The sequence below is a fragment of the Homo sapiens genome, chromosome 8 (genome assembly GCF_000001405.40).
Source record: "Homo sapiens chromosome 8, GRCh38.p14 Primary Assembly".
NCBI lineage: Eukaryota > Metazoa > Chordata > Mammalia > Primates > Hominidae > Homo > Homo sapiens.
The window spans coordinates 72,234,266-72,251,928 of record NC_000008.11 but is presented as its reverse complement, the minus strand read 5'-3'; the positions used below and the strand labels follow the sequence as shown (position 1 = coordinate 72,251,928).

Below are 17,663 nucleotides of genomic sequence, written 5' to 3'. Positions count from 1 at the left end.
TGACTCTGGGAGTGCGCTGCTGCAGCTGCAGGACAGCGGGACGGGGGAGTCACTTTGTTCCTGAAGGGGCGAGTCCTCGGCAGACGCTGCGCCGCCTCCCTCTTTGCTAGGGAGGTCTGTGTTTCTACCTCCTCTTCACGCCCCGCTTGCTTCCTGCACTGTAAGTAGCGCGGGCCTGAGAACTCCTTCCAGAAGTTCTCCAGGGCTCTCGCGGAGCGAGATTTTCGCTGCCTGTGAGCTGCAGCGAGGGAGAGCTCGGGCTCGCGCGGACCCCAGCGCCTGGCCGGCTGACAGCGCTCTCTCGCCCCAGGTGCCCGCGCTCGTGGGGAGCAGATGCACCAGATGGCGTCCGGGGTGGGGTCAATGAAGCGCAGCCCGAGGAAGATGTGGCGCCCTGGAGAAAAGAAGGAGCCCCAGGGCGTTGTCTATGAGGATGTGCGGGACGACACGGAGGACTGCAAGGAACCGCTTAAGGTACCCTGGGGGTTCGCGGGTCGGGACGGGTTCTGAAGTCCGGCCGCGGTTCGGCTCGAGGTTTCCTTGCGGGCAGCCCTTGGTTTGGAGAAAGCGTGGAGTGGCCAGGGGGTTGCAAGCTTTGGGGTGTGTTCACAGTCCAAGAGGAGACCCCGCTAATGACGCGCCCACACAGCGCCTGCTTTATCTATTTTGTTTGCTTGTTTGCCCAATCTATTCTTGCTCCTGGACAACTGTAGTCCAGGGAAACCTACTCCAAAAGTATCTGTATCATTTGGCACAAGATCGGGCAGCTGCCTAAAATCAGGGCAATTTGGAATGTGTGTCGTTTCACTTGAACTTTTTTGTAGATTTTGTTTAGAATCAAATAGCCGAAAGGCTGTGTCTGATTGTCGTCGGATAACTATTTAAGAGTTTTGGGGGTTGAGAAGGCTTCTGGTCTAACAGAGTGAAACAGAGAAACCAGAGAAAATGTCCCCTGTAAAACGGAGACAGAACTGGCGAATTCCTTCTTCAGGGGATGGAGACGTCAGGAAATGCTGTGGAGGAGGTGACCTTTTGAAGTTGGATGAGTGGCCTAAGGCTCTAGGATAGGTACTTGTTTGTTATGCAGTTCTCGGGACCTAAAGGCAGCACTAGCTACTACCTGATGGCTTAGTCTAAGGGATAGAGGCTGTTGGGTGCTCAGAGCCCACCACTGGATTTCATCAGATTGTCAACAGGAGAAAGGGGCTCTTTTAAAATGTTGAGACAACATTAAAGAGACTCTCCAAACCCTCATCACAAATCTCTTTCAACAGTGGAATCATGTTAACAGTTTCTTATGTATTTTCCAGGTTAAAAAAAATGCTTACACAAAAACGCATATGTTAATGGATCTTTTTTTATTTGCAAAAGTATGAACTCGCAGATTTCCACTTTGATTTACTCACAAAATATATTTTGGAATACATTTTAAATCGGCACTTGGAAATTTACCTGTTTTTACCAGCTTCATAACATCCCACTGTATGAATAGATCATGATTTATTTAACCAGTCTTGCACTGATGGACACTCAGGCTGTTTTATGTTTGCTTTGTTTTGCTATTATACACCTGACTGAGTGTGTCTGTGAGCGTAGACGTGACTTCTCTGTCTGTCCATTGTTACTTTTGCGGGACTGTCTGTATGTTAAAGTCCTAGCAGGGTCAAGAGGTACATACAGCCTTAAGTTTGGTAGCAATTGCCAAATTGCTCTCTAAATAGGTTGCACAAATTGGCACTGTTGCCAGCTGTGTGTGTGAATCAGGCATGTATAGTAAATCACACACACCAAGTAGCCAGGCCTCCCAAGGTGAGTCTGTTGGCATATCCACCTTGACCACAGACATTTTTTGTCCTTCTTAATATTAGCAAGGTAACTGTGGCCTTTTGGCTTATTGCAGAGAACAGAGTCATGAATGGATTTCACCCTCCAGGATAGTATCTTTACAATTAATATGGGACTGGAAGAAATTTTAAATTTCTAATATCACCCATGTGGTTTTATTTATTTATTTATTTTTCTTTATTATTATTATTATTATTATTATTATTATTATTATTATTTTTTGAGACAGAGTCTAGCTCTGTTGCCAAGCTGGACTGCAGTGGCATGATCTCGGCTCACTGCAACCTCCACGTCCCGGGTTCAAGCAATTCTCTTGCCTCAGCCTCCTGAGTAGCTGGGACTACAGGTGCACGCCACCATGCCTGGCTAATTTTTGTATTTTTAGTAGAGAAGGGGTTTCATCATGTTGGCCAGGATGGTCTCAATCTCTTGACCTCATGATCCACCCGCCTCAGCCTCCCAAAGTGCTGGGATCACAGGCATGAGCCACCATGCCTGGCCTGTGGTTTCATTTTCTAGAGATATTTACTGAGGGATTTCTCAGCACCAAGTCTCAAAATTATTTTTCTTCATGTTTCTAATTGTCCTTATTTAGATTTATTGCCTAAGTAGAACCACTTACGTTATTTAAGGCTTTTTATTTTTATTTTTTTATTTGAGTTTGTAGATTGAGGGATTTATATATTTTATTTCATTAACTGTGGTACTTTCAGATCATCTTGTAAAAATCTCAGTGGTTGTACTCATTACAAAGAAACATATATAATACCATGAAGGGTTTTTTGAACTCTAGAGGGTTTTTGGTGGTTTCCTAAATTAAAAGAAAAGCTGTATAACATATTTTCTCCAGCACATACACAGTATCTCAGGAACACTAACAAAACTGAAGGATCACAGAAAACTTACAAGATGAGAAATGTGGAAAAAGAACAATTGGACTGATGCTTTTAGCCTTTTCCAATTATTTTCTTTCAAGATAGTGAATACTTCAGCATTTGATCTTCCAATTGTTATCTCTCACCTTAGTTTCCAACCTTTTGGCCACATTGCTACTTTTATGTATTTCATTAAAGCAACCTAAAACAGATGCGTTTGATATTTCTGTTTTAAGGGGTTTAGTTAGAATTAGCTTATCTAAAAGTGATCTAGTCTATTATGTTCTGAATCTAATCACATAGGTCTGAATCATAAGGAATCTGAAGTGACTCTGTGACAACATGAAACTACATTAAATGAATATATAACTTGTCTAAATGACATCCTTGGCTTACTTTCAGAACTTTAAAAAATCTTTTCAAAGCCTGACAATACCTTAGCTACTGATTGAGAAGATCTAGTACATCTGATATGCTCGTGTAAAGTATTTAGATGCTGTTTTGTTATTGTGAATTCAATAGTGCCTTGTGAGCATCTGAACCTAGTACTCCCTCTAAAGAGTGTGGAATTGGGTTTGTGTTGACAGCACATCGCTGAACAGACATCCCAAACTGCTCATTCTGGCACTAGGGAGTAGGCAGCACAATCTCTTTATTACCCAAATAGCGTATCAAATTCAAGTGCCAGAATGCTTCTAAATAGATTTAGATCAACATTTTCTTTGATAGCATGAGACATGAGAATACCCTATTTCTACAATAATCCCATTTTAAATTTATTACTGAATATGTGTAAATTTGGAAGTGGTTGGATGCTCATTGTCATATCCTATAGTCACTAAAGCCATATGTAGCTTATATAGAATTCTTTTTTTTTTTTTTGGTTAAAAAGTAACATATATCAGTTTAAGAGACTACTATAGAACAGTGATTTGTTAAGTACTGTTTTGTGATTCTAGAAGCAAAATCCAAAGTTCAAAAATTTAAGAAATTAAGTTTTATTTATTCCAATTTGACATTTACTGAATAAATCCTCATATCTTAAATCATTTCTTAGCTATATTAAGATACATTAAATACTTTAATACATCATTTTAATTGATAGCTTTTCTTTTCAGTAGTGAGAAATGCTCTAGTTATCCTTAAAATAACAAACTAGAATTTGAACACATATATTATCATGTGGCATATGTGACTAGTTATGGTCAATGGTAGAATTTAAGCAAGTATCTGATTCATTTGTTTGGGGAAGATTTCTTCATTTCCTTGGCAACAAAGAAGAAGGCCTTTATTTCTAAGCATATATGAGTTTATGGTCAAAAAATAAAAACATTTATTTCATATACTGAACAATTTGGGGGCATTTTTTCATACCTTCTTTGTATCTGTAAATATTTTGTGTATTTCAAGAAAAACTTTTACTTTATTATAAGCATGATAAAGAGTTTTGGATAATAAATTATTTAAGACTATAAAATGATTAACTTTATAGTCATAAGTTTTGCATATGCTTGTTTGTTGTAATGGTGTTTAAATACCTCTAGGAGGATTTTGAAGGAAGTGCATATGGATTACAAAACTTTAAGAAACAAAAGATATTAAACAATTGTGATGACATGAACGCCTTCTCTTCACAATATGCTGTAGGAAAAGGTCAATTCGACTAGATGGAGATGTTCTCTGAAGATTTCCTTCCTGGAGGTAACAAAACATTACAATGCATCTTCTAGAAATCTTTTATCCCATTCAATTCACTGGGAAGAGTGGAATAAAGTGATTCTTAAGGGTAATTAGTTTCAATTATAAAGAGCCTGTATATTTCACTTAGAAATGTGGGTTTTCCTACACACCAGCACTCCTCAACTTCTTCTACTGAAATATTGCAAAACATAGTGCAGAGATCTAGGACACCCCACAATAAGCACAGACTTTATTTGAATTTTTAGGTAGATTGTAAAAATGCATATATATTTATGTACTCTTCTACACTATTTCCATTGAGGTTATTCTACACCTAAATTATTATCATTGAAGAAAATGGACACTTCAAGAAGGTGTAACATCCCCCGACCAGTGATATTTTCCAGATGCCAGCCTTGTACACTCTGCCTTGTTTAAGCAGTTCAACTGCAGGCAATGAGGGAGGTGGATGCCACAGAGATGGAGGCAGTGAGATGGTGTGATAAGACCTTCACTATATAAGATAATTCCATCAATATTGTGGAAGATGGATTAGAAGTGGAAGCCAAGCTAAAAAGCTATTTTGGTAGTAAACAGAGGATAAAAGTTCACCAGGTTTGTGAGGCTACAATAAGGAGACAGGGAGAGGTTCAAGAGATATTGGCATGTAAAGTCAACAGTGCTTAACAGCAGAGTAAATGGGAAGAGAAAGGGGCAGGGAGTTGGAACTGACTTTGAAATTCTTAAATTTAGGAGATTAGGCTAATAATATAAACATCCCCCAAAAGGAGGAATATGAGAAAACAAAAAGTAAGTGAGTGCGAAGGTGTGAGATTTGGTCACTGTGAGTTTGAAAGGCCCAGGGGACATCCACTTGGAAATATCCAGCGGGCAATATCTATAATCTTCAATAATATCTGGAAATATCCAGAAATGTAGAATGAAAGGGTCTGCCCTACAGGAGCATGATTGCATAGGAAGTCGATGAGACAGTGGAAATGCATGAAAATACTTTAGGGGATCACAAAATTGCTAGTTAAGGTAGCTAAGAGTAGAGTACAAACACCAAGAGAGAGATAGCAGAGGAAAAGCCAGAAAAAGATGAAGATAGTGATGGATAAAAATTGATGATACTCAAACCATGGGAGAAGTTACTGGGACAGAAGAGTTAGAAGGAGCTCTTGCCACAAAGAGATCAGTAGGAAGGAGATCACGATAAAGCCCCTACATTAGAAGGCCCCAGTGACTTCTGTAAAAATGATTTCTGAAAAGTGATGAGGATAAAAGTGAAATTCAAGTTATTTAATTAGTGAATGGGAGTTTGTAAATATAGATCCCTGTTTAAGTTTGGTGCCAAATGGAATGATGAATGGAGTGATTCTTCTTGATCAGACGGAACAGTCAAGAGATGTGTGTGTGTGTCCATGCATGTATGTGTGTTGTTTAGAATGAAGCACTTAGATGAATAAAAGGAAATAGTGGAGAGATATATTTTAAAAAGGAGAGAAACAGAAAATGTGGCTACATGGTTCCAAGTACCATAGATGGTCCCCAAATCATGTTTATGAGACAATACTTTTTCTCCTTTTGTGGACATAAAGATAACACTGCCACTAATTTACAAGGTTGATATGTCCATTTTAGAATAGCTATAGGACTTTGCAGGATGAAAGGACCTATTACTTGTATGCTGAGCTCACAGGATAAATAGTGCCATATATCGTATTGTAGAAATATATGGAAAGCCGGTGTGGCATCAGGGACTCAAGCTCGAATTCTAGTCTTGTGGTTTATTAGTGGTGTGTCTTTTTTCTTATTAACATTTTCTGAGCCATTCCTACAGGCCAGGCACTCCACTGTGATCTTTGAAGACACGATTTAATATTATTGTCCCAATAACACTGCAACATTGCAAGGTGTCTCTCTCTCTCTGTGTGTGTAGGCATATGAATATATGTTTTGTATTTTTTTTTTTTTACAAATTTTGAATACGAGAAAGCTGAGGTTCAGAGAGGCATGGTAACCATACCTCCTTACTGGCTCTGTGATGTTGGCAAGACTTTTAACCTCTCTGGACCTCAGCATCTTCCTCCTGAACATTTGTCATGGTGATGCCTAGCAGGCTGTTGGGGCTTGAAAGAAATAATGGTCACGTGAACTTAGTAGAGTGCCCAGTATATAGTTCTTTGTTTTATGTAATCTCAATATTTTATCACAATACCCCAACTCATATAGATAAAAATATGTAGCAATTGGAGGATCTTTTTCTTATGACTGCTATGGATAGAAATTTAACTCAATTGATAAAGTCAGTGCCATGCTTCTATATATTCCCATTAGGTGCCCATTAAATGTTTCATGAGAATTGAAGCTGTGTTTTTAGTTTCCATAGAAAAGATGCAGCTGATTTCAGTTGCACTTGGCACTGAGTTTTGCAGTGGATAGGCACTCAAGAGGTGTTGAGCAAAATCTAACCCATATTTTGGTTTCTTTTTCTAGTGCTGAATGCAATGATTATGGATGATTATGGAATAGCCCTCTGCACTGTGCTGTAGATGAAAACCAAATTGAAAGCGTTAAGTTTCTACTCAGCAGAGGAGCAAACCCAAACCTCCAAAACTTCAACATGATTGCGCCCCTCCACGTAGCTGTGCTGGGCATGAACAATGAGGTGATGAAGGTAAGGCTACTGGCTGGCTCCAAAGGGCCTGACCAGCGGCGCAGGTGCTGGTACCCAGATCCAGCTCTCTCTGCCTGCACCAGGATGAGCACCTTCTGAGCTTCCAGGTCAAATGATATGTAATAATTACATTTGCTCTACTTCTCACCAACTAATGTTGATAATGATGATTAGTTCTAACTTTATTGAACAGTTCTTATTTACCAAGCACCTTTAAAGAGCTTTGTGCATGTTCGTTTATTGAATTCTCATCTAAATAAGCCCTCTATGAAGTAAGATCTAATAAAATACTAGTATTCCCATTTCATAGCTGAGTATGCTGAGGTGCCAAAAGAATTTGAATAGCTTGCCTAATGGCACATCACAAGTAAAACAGCAAGACTAAGGAATTTTGTTTTCATCTTTATGTTTTCAAGTTTAGGCTTTATCTCTTTTACCTGACTGATGTAATGACAAAGGAAGAAGGTATTGAGAGCCTCAGTGAAAGCAGAAAACATAAGTATGACTTGCTGTTTTAGTTAGAGTGTATGGCCTGTTAGATTAGTTCGCTGAAGACATGACAATACCATTGGGAGACATCTTATTGGTTTTCAAGGTGTAACAATAAGTTTGATCAAGTAGAGGAAATCCTGGAAAATTGCTAAAGGGTAAAAATTAGGCCATGGCTTTTAAACTACCTCTCAAAGTCTGTCAGACACACTAGAATACAAACATGTTTAACTGATGAAGAATGGAGTTTACAAATGGATCATGTTCCAGAAGTTCATTTCTAAGGTAGGCTTATTTGGAACTTACAATAAATTTTCTTGTAGAAATATTATTGCAAATGATGATTTGGCTATTTGTGGTAAGCCACAAGAAAACCAACTTCTCTATAAATCGCCAAAGAGATGCATGAGTTTCTGGCTCTCTTTAGCCCAAAAACCTTTTCTCTCAGCCTTCTGAGACCTTGGCTCCTTTACATTTGGCATGAAGGGTATTAGAGGAGCCACTTTCTGCTTTCCTACTGTTCCTTGTATATGGCTTTATCAAAATTCTTAACACATGATATTGGAATCAAACATTCAGGTGCTTTTTTTGCGCACTGGGTAATTATCCTTGAAAGAGGGCTGTGTCTTGCTAATCCAAATATCTCTTGTTCCTCAGCACTGTGGTGGCAAATGATGAATGAATGACTAAATTCGAGTTCTGGCTGACTCAGAAGGGGCGAGCTGAAGTCTCAGTACCTATGAGATAGGTCAGAGTGGCTCCCTGAAGAGGTTACTAGAAAGTCCTCTGGAAACAAGCTGGTTTTTATTGTTGTTCTTGTTGTTTTATTAAATATCTGCATTATTCATGAGCCAACTGTTGTTTCCATATCATCCAGGTTGGGCCACTAATGACTGCAGGGACTCCCACAGAGATGTCACGTATTTCCTCATGGAGCTCTGTGCTCCCTCTGAAGGCTCTTTTTAAGAACAAATACCTATTAACTCAATTAATATTGGCTCTGAAAGTGTGGTTTGGGAATATGAAGACAGACAACTGTTGAAAGACTATTGTTATTAGAAAGCAGAAACCTCCAGACCAACACATTCAGAAAGATAGGTATCACATAGAAATAGAAAATAAAGCTCCTAACTGATTCATAAATTCAGTGATGAACATAAAACAAATTTTCCTGATGACACCAGAACAAGCAGAAAAATAGAGTTCTAAGTAAAATTGACTCTCCCCTACTTGCTCTTACCAATCACAACTATGTGTAAAAATATTTTCAGACTCCTCTGGTTCACCAGAGATGACAGGAATAGAAGGAGGAGAACGTGTTTTGGAATGTCTCCCCTCATGCTTGCAAACAGCAGTCCTCTCTACCTGCCTCTCCCTGTTATACCCATGGTCCAGCCTGTACCCACCCAGCCCCTGCCAGTTTAGAAGCTGCTCCACTAACCTTCCCTCAAACCTTCCTCTGCTGCCTATAATGGTTGTAAAGTAAAAAGCTGTCATCCACGCATCACTTCAAGTTCTTCAACAAATGATTTATGGTATGCATAATATTCCCTGGGACACATTGGCCTGGGGATTAGGGGGTGGTTTTTTCTCTCAGTGGCCTATAGGCCTTAGTCCTTGGGGCTTTACTTCAAAGTATCCAGTTGTTTGACCCTTCCATGAGGCTTTCCAGATTCTCATCAAAGGGACCTATGGAGGGCTCATCTCCGAACTTTCCAGACTTGCTTGGTCATGACTGAATTTGGAGTAGGTGCACAGTTTAGTTGCTCTCTCTGGTATCTCTGCCACATATAACTGAACACAGCTTTTTGAAAGATTGTGCTTTTGGTGGTACAGTAATAACAGCCTAATGCTACACTTTTGTGGCCTATGTTTCTAAGAGGGCAAAGAGAGAAAAGCCTCTTCTATGATAGGTTATTTTCCATATGAATCTACAGCTTCTTAAGAAGAGAATGCAAAGGTGCCTAAAGTCCATGGAAGGAATCTTGTGTTCTCATTTCCCTTAATTCATCAATCATTTTCCCACGTATTTTTATGTACTAAAATCTCAGTTTAATTTTCATTTATGAGCAGAATTAATTAGTAAACCTAATTCATTTACTGACACTCACATGGGGCATGTTCTGTTAACAAGAGGCTCTGGTAAAAGGTTGTATACTTTTTTAAAGAAGTCAATGTTTTTGAGAAACAGCTTATTTAATAAATTCTTTTAACATTATTTAATTATAAGGACATGCCATTGTTTATCATAGTCTTTCTGCAAGAGAAAAAGCCTCTAGTAGGCCAATTTCAAGATTTGATAAGATATTTAGATGAGATAATTTTGTTACATTGAATATAAAAAAAAGACTGGTCAAAGATCTATAGACACTTGGGCAATAATCAGCTGGCCGTCAACCAGGTGAGGCAGTAACAGGTCTTCAATGAAATTCTATCAGAAAAATTACTTGACCATTTTATCAGGATGCTAATTTCTTATCTCTCTTTCTCTGTCTTTTCCCTTCCTTCCTTCCTTCCTTCCTTCCTTCCTTCCTTCCTTCCTTCCTTCCTTCCTTCCTTCCCTCCTTCCTTCCTTCCTCCCTCCCTCCCTCCCTTCCTCTTTCTCTCCCTCTCTCTCTCTCTTTCTCTTTTTCTCTCTTTCTCTCTTTCTTTCTTTCTTCTTTTTTTTTCTTGCACTGTCTCCCAGGGTGGAGTGTGGTGGCATGATCTCAGCTCACTGCAACCTCTGCCTCCCGGGTTCAAGCAATTCTCCTGCCTCAGCCTCCCAAGTACCTGGGACTACAGGCTTGCACCATCAAGCCCAGCTAATTTTTGTATTTTTAGTAGAGTTGGGGTTTCATCATGTTGGCCAGGCCGGTCTCAAACTCCTGACCCCAAGTGATCCACCTGCCTCAACCTCCGAAAGTGCTGAGATTACAGGCATGAGACACCGTGCTCGGCCAGGACGCTAATTTCTTACATTGTAGAAAAAGTTTCCATTGCAGACCAAGTTTGAATTAATTGAGTTAAGTCTTACCAAAGTGTTATGCAAAACTCTGTTTTGTTTACTGAAAAGAGTTTCCATTGACATTTCCTAGGATGCTTGCAATCTAAGTAAAAGAAAAATGACTGGCAGGGGGAGAAAAACTATTCCCTTCCTGTCTCCCTCCCTCCCTCCTTCTCTCTCTTGCTCTTACTTTCTTCCTTCTTCCCTTCCTGACTTCCTCCTTCACTGCGAACACATTCTAAATGGCTCCACAAATTTATTTTTCTGAAAATATTAGTTAATATAGCTTCACCTAATACTAGTCAGAAGTATTAAGTGAAGCTATGATAACTAGTATCTACAATTAGTATTTACAATGCTACAACTCATTATCACCTTAATTGTTGTGACATTGAAATCATGATTATTTCATCTATTTGAGAAATTTATTTAGTACCCACAGTATGCAGAATTTTGTGCCAGATTGTGTGGGAGAAGTATGAAAAAAGATAAATAGACATGGTCCTTGGCATCTGAGAACTTAAAATCTAGTGGAAGACAAGTATTTTATTTGGAAATCTGTAAAATTTTGACAATTATTCTCCACTTTTGTGTAGGTCTTGCTTGAGCATAGAAGTACTGATGTTAATTTGGAAGGAGAAAATGGAAACACAGCTGTGATGATCGCATGCACCAAAAATAATAGTGAAGCACTGCAGATTTTGGTTTGCATATTTGTCATATCTTTCTGCTTTCTTTATCTTTTCATGAATACAACATGGATTATTATTATTTACAAAAGCTGTTGAGTTTTTCTCCTTAGAAAAACATAAAATACAGAAACTATGTCAGAAAAAAAGTTGTTCTATGTGTTTTTGTGTACACACTCCCTGTCTTAAGTGGATCTGAGATTGCTTTTAGAGGACGAATAGTAAAGCGGTAATGAAAACTATGAGAAATTCAAAGTGAAAAGAAAATATAGGCAGGAAAAATTGAGATGAAGCTGGTGGTCAGGCTAGAATGCGAAATACAAAGTATAATGGCCTGTATCTTATAAAGATGGTTTGCACGTTCGATTCTGAGCTTCTGAATTGTCAAAGGAAAGATGAATATAATCAGTTCCAGACTTATCGGGCCCATAAAATAAAAGCCAAAAGAAGCATAGCCACTCCTGAAAACCTGAAGAAATTATTGCCACGTGTTCCCAAAAACAGTGCCCTGAGTGATGAAATGACAAAGGTTGTTAGCCACATGCCTGAGAGCAGAGCCAGCTTTGTCTCTGGCGAGGCTTCCTGACGTGGTCCAGTGAGGGGATGGAGATGCTTGTCTACATGACTTCCTCCTGATTCTGGCAGTGATCCATCTGAGTGTGCTGTTACAGTCCCAGCAAATAGCCTTGTTTCAAATATTCCTTAATCACTTGCATGTTATCCAGACCAGGATCTTTATTTTTACCACAAGATTTTGCCTCTTTACCATCCCAGAGAGTAAGAAAATGAAATAAAACAATTTAAAAATATTTGCCTAATGTTTAAATGTACCATACATGTATGTTTTAGCACCTTTACTAGATGTACTTAGAGACAGGTAAATACTCTAAGCTCTCATGATTGGACCGAAAAGAGAATAAATGATAAAGAGAATAAAAATAAATTAACTAACACTCAAACCAAGAATTTAGGAAAAGAACCTTAAATTAACCAAAGGAAAATCGGTATAAAGAAATAGTAAAGTTAAAAGTCCTACAGAAAACAACGTATTTTTAAAGTCTGATTTCCTTGCCAATTTAATTTTTATGTGTATACTGTATGACAATATTGTTCAAAAAAATTTTACTTAACAATATTCTTCTTGTTATTATTATTATTGTTTTTTTCTGAGATGGAGTCTCACTCTTGTCACCCAGGCTGGAATGCAGTGGCACATCTCGGCTCACTGCAACCTCCACCTCCCGGGTTCAAGCGATTCTCCTGCTTTAGCCTCCCGAGTAGCTGGGACTACAGGAGCATACCACCACAAATTTTTGTATTTTTAGTAGAGATGGGGTTTCGCCATGTTGGCCAGGCTGGTCTCGAACTCCTGACCTCAGGTGATCCACTCGCCTCAGCCCCCCAAAGTGCTGGGATTACAGGCAGGAGCCAACGTGCCCGGCCAACAATATTCTTTAATAATATGATTTTATAAAGTACATCTTTCATTTCTGGACTATATTATACATATATATTTCTGGGCTATTATATATATTATAGAAACTAAACTAATACTATCTCTAAAAGCTGAGATTACAGGTGGTATTTGGTTCTACACACATTTCTGTTTACTCAAAATATTTTCTTTTGAGATAATTAAAAGTACTTAAAACAAAACTGAAGGTTAATGATCTATAGAAAATGGCAGTTTAAAATGATTGGCTCAGATTATCAACGTAATATAACACTTAGTTCTTCTAACACCTTTTTAGTGAAGAACTATCATTAGTGAAAATACTTGATTTTCATGGCTTAACAAGAGTGCTGGCATATTCATTTATTAATTTTACATAAACAGAAGGAAAATCATCTGGGAAATATTGTCATTTTATTCGCATAAGAAATTGAAAATGGGTATAGAAGTCATGATAGTGTCTTTAAAAATTTTATTAATTCCATTGAAAAATATGTTGACTTTAGTTTGCTGGGGTATCAAAATTTATATTTTTGTGTCTACATTGTTACTTCTTTGGAAGATATAAAATGTCCCTATTTCAGAATCTTTGCTTAGCTCAAAATTACTTTCATGCTTAGATTTTATAATATATGAAGCTCTCTATGTACTTTTACATAGACATACAATGTAATTTGTGATTTGACGTTTAACTGGTGTCATTTTTAGTTTTGTCTTTTCTTCCAGCTTCACAAAGGAGCTAAGCCATGCAAATCAAATACATTTGGATGTTTTCCTATTCATCAGGCTGTACTTTCAGGTTCCAAAGAATGCATGGAAATAATATTGAAGTTTGGTGAGTAGAGGTTTTTCCATATATACACTATAAATAAGTCTACTCTGGTGGGTGCTATTACTTTGAAAAATGTTTAACCAAATTTACCACAGGCTTGTATGTGTCTCAGTGCCCTTCCTTTTTTAAAAAAATAAAAAACCCTCCCTATTATTCATTTTATATATTTGTTAAGTTGAATGCTATTTTCTTCTAAAGGTGAAGAGCACGGGTACAGCAGACAGTGTCACATCAACTTTGTGGATAACGGGAAAGCCAGCCCTCTCCATCTGGCTGTGCAAAATGGTGACTTGGAAATGATGAAAATGTGCCTGGACAATGGTGTACAAATAGACCTAGTGGAGGTAACTCTTCGTATTTTATATGACACTTTCATCTTAGAGTTGTCAAAAGCATATAAAATGCTTTATAGCTCTTTTATGGTTAATTTACATTGAAATACACACAAGAAATAGATATTATTTCCTTCTGCTTCTGCAGAAGCAGAACAAGGGGATACCCCAAGTTTCAGTCTATGTAAAGAATTTTGAGACCTCCCTAAAACAATTGCAGACACAAATACAGACAGAACAAAGACGATATCTAGTTCAATTGCCGTTACACAGTTAAGGCCTACCCTCAGAAGATGATAATGTTCAGCTAGGAACATTAAAGCCCAATCATGAATGTCTTTGGCTTTAGTTCTATTCGGAAGAGTTATCATTTTTAAAACTAAGGACCACTTAACTAATTTCTAAAAATATGTTTGTGAAAATGCTGACTGTGTTTGGGATCTGACCTTATGGCAGGCATCTCTGACCAAAAGTGTAGAGTTTGGGCCCTTTTCCCTTCAACATCTGGGTTTTGGGTGGCAACAAGCTCCCCTCCAAGGTACTGCAAAGGCCTGTGCTTTCTGGAGGAAGAGAAGATTGGTTATTAATTTCATGTGTCTTCTGGACACTAATCCTAAGTCCCTTCAATATAGAAATAAGAGCTGCCACTCTTGGTACGGATTCTGAAGTCACTTCCTACGCTGAGTGCTTACAGCAATGAATGAGACGTCGTTCTCATGTTCCTGGGGGAAAGAATGTTACCCAGACGATGATGGTGGAAGTATATGCCAGGAGTTGTTTTATTAGAAAGAAGCACACTTGTCAGCTACAAATTTTGTATGGATGCTCTTCTTTGTAGGTCCGTAAAATCAAGGAATATCTATTGCATTTCAGATGATTAATGGTGATCAGTTTCATCTGATCACCATTAATCATCTGAAATGTAATTGATATTCCTTGATTTTATTGACCTGGGACAAAAAAACTCACAGATGAATATAAGTTACATTCTTAAATTTGGATTTAAATATTGATTCTAGTATTAAAACCCTTTACAGAAGGCAAAGTGCACAGCCCTTCACTTTGCTGCATGGAGAGACTGAGATTATTAAATTATCGATATCGTCCTATTCTGGTGGCATAGATATTGTTAATGCAGCTGATGAAGTCATCAGACTGTGCTTCACAGGCAAGTTTTCTACCTATCATTCTGTATACAGACTTTTAGTCTTCACATGTTAAATTAGAAATTGCAAAGAGCAGTTAGTACTAATGGAAGCAAAGATTATGTAGTTTAAAAGAAAAGAACAAAATAGCAAAGACCCTGTGTATCAACTGGAATTGCTTGTGTTCCTGGGGAATGGGAGTATAATGTTAAAGAAATTTCACAGAATAAAATCTCCTGTGGCATATTCTGAATCAAGTCCAGTGGATATAGGATCAAGATTAATTTTCTATATGCTAAAGAAGTCTACATACAAGGTCTTCCAAGCCTTTTCTAATTTGTTCCAATTTCTCATATTTATTTTATCCCCATTTTTAATGACAATAATGGAGCAGATACGTATGGATATTTTACTTTTCCCACCATAATCCCTTTTGCTAATCCCCCAATTATACATAAATGGTTTCAAAAGATAAAGTTTTAGGAAATTATAACCAAGTTGCCAAAAACGCTAAAAAATTTCTATGAAGTTTGACAGAAATACACATCAGGGAAAATGTATTAAACTGTAGGCTTACTAGGTGCTAGGATAGGAAACAAGCAGTGTATATCGGAAATTCAATTCTTGTGGAAAGACAAGTACCAAATGCTCCCCATGTGAGTGAAAGAGTTGTCTGAGTTGAGCCTTCAGTCTCTCAGTCTCTTACACACACACACAGACACACAGACACACACACAGACACACACACACACACACACACACACACACACACAGAGTCAGAGTAGCCGATATATTTTCAATAGGTAACCAGACCTGGAAATCTATCTATCTAAATATCTCTTAGAAAAAAAGCAGATCACGAGGTCAGGAGATCGAGACCATCCTGGCCAACACGGTGAAACCCTGTCTCTACTAAAAATACAAAAAATTAGCTGGGCATGATGGCGGGCGCCTATAGTCCTAACTACTCCGGAGGCTGAGGCAGGAGAATGGCGTGAACCCAGGAGGCGGGGCTTGCAGTGAGCCAAGATGGTGCCACTGCACTCCAGCCTGGGCGACAGAGCAAGACTCCGCCTCAAAAAAAAAAAAAAAGAAAAAAGAAAAAAAGAATCTCTAGCTACCAATATAAGATCTGTTTCTAATGAATGTACACATTTGCAAAACCACCAGCCATGATAGGATATGTGTGAAGAGAAAGGAACTCCCACTTCGGATGAATTTGCAAACTAAAATTGTATAGCATAAAAGAAAACTTATTTTAAAAAAAAGTCAACAAAAAGCCAATTTATTTCCAAGAAAATATAACAGGGGAATCTGAAAATAATTTTGAAATAAAGATATTTGAGACCTTAAAAAATTTAAAGGAAGGGTAATAAGTTATGTAAAAGTAAGTATATGAAGACAACATAGAATTGTAAAAACAGGTTGTCATATATGAATCTAGGATTGGTGATATGAAAATGATACAGTAAAATAAAAAAGTTAAAAAGGAGCCATTGAAATAAAATTAAAACTCAATAGACTAACCTCTAGACCAGAGATTCTCAAACTGTTGCAGATTGGAATCATGTGGGTAGCTCCTAAAATCCCAGTACCAATTAATACCCTTTAATATATAAAATCTCTGGGATGAGTGGCAGGAATTTAAAAAAAAAAAACTCTTTGATTTGAATGTGTCGCTAATTTAGAAACCCAATGATTTGGTTACCGTTGAAGTGTATCTTTAGAAAACAGCCTTAATATATTAATATGCATGAGATGAAATTATCTTAGGTAGATGGGTACTTAATGTTATAATTTATTCCCTAAAATTACTAAATATAACTAATATGTTTTAAATATAATGCAACATCTTGTCATATTTTGGGTGAAAATTAGCAAACTGATTCTGAAATTTATATATAAAAGGCCAAGAATACTTGAGACAATCTTGAAAGAAAGAAATGAGATTTGCTAATCTCAGCACTTTGGGAGGCCAAGGCGGGTGGATCACGAGGTCAGGAGATCAAGACCATCCTGGCTAACACTGTGAAACCCCGTCTCTGCTAAAGATACAAAAAAAAAAAAAAAAAAAAGTTAGCAAGGCATGGTGGCGGGTGCCTGTAGTCCCAGCTACTCTGGAGGCTGAGGCAGGAGAATGGCGTGAACCCGGGAGGCGGAGCTTGCATTGAGCCCAGATCGCGCCACTCACTGCACTCCACCTGGGCGACAGAGCGAGACTCCGTCTCAAGTGGCGACAGAATGAGACTCCGTCTCAAAAAAAAAAAAAAAAGAAATTGTTAACATGTCTTAAGGAGGCGCTTTAATATAGATTGAAAACTTTTACTTGCTTTTTAAATTAACATTATCCTTATGACTGGCTGTGAGATGATACCAAAATGTTTTCTATCCTCTCCATAATTATTTTTGGCTTCATAAAAAACTCAAGTTAACACTGCCATTTAACTTTTGCCAAAGAGGAGTCTCCCAAAGAGGGACTTTTTGAACCCCGCAGGTGAATTTGAGACATACTTTGCGTGTAGCTATTGTTATTCCCCATGATCACAGCAGTACCAGCGATTTCTTTGTCTCTTCTATCTTGGGACAGATGTTACTACTCACTTCAGAATATCTTCATGGTGATTTTACAGGAGAAAACAGTTTCCTAAAGGATAAGG

The 17,663-nt window shown here is 38.0% G+C and overlaps 1 pseudogene across 1 annotated transcript in view; it reads left to right on the top strand.

Moving 5' to 3' along the window:
• Positions 1-294: 294 nt before the first annotated feature.
• The window catches only part of TRPA2P (transient receptor potential cation channel subfamily A member 2, pseudogene), a 48,883-nt pseudogene continuing 31,514 nt past the window's right edge, over positions 295-17,663 (top strand). The window contains exons 1-6 of the transcript NR_033867.2: positions 295-474; positions 4,265-4,421; positions 6,900-7,080; positions 11,152-11,259; positions 13,424-13,532; positions 13,728-13,873. The product of NR_033867.2 is annotated as a transient receptor potential cation channel subfamily A member 2, pseudogene (transcript). The remainder of the gene's footprint in view (positions 475-4,264; positions 4,422-6,899; positions 7,081-11,151; positions 11,260-13,423; positions 13,533-13,727; positions 13,874-17,663) is intronic.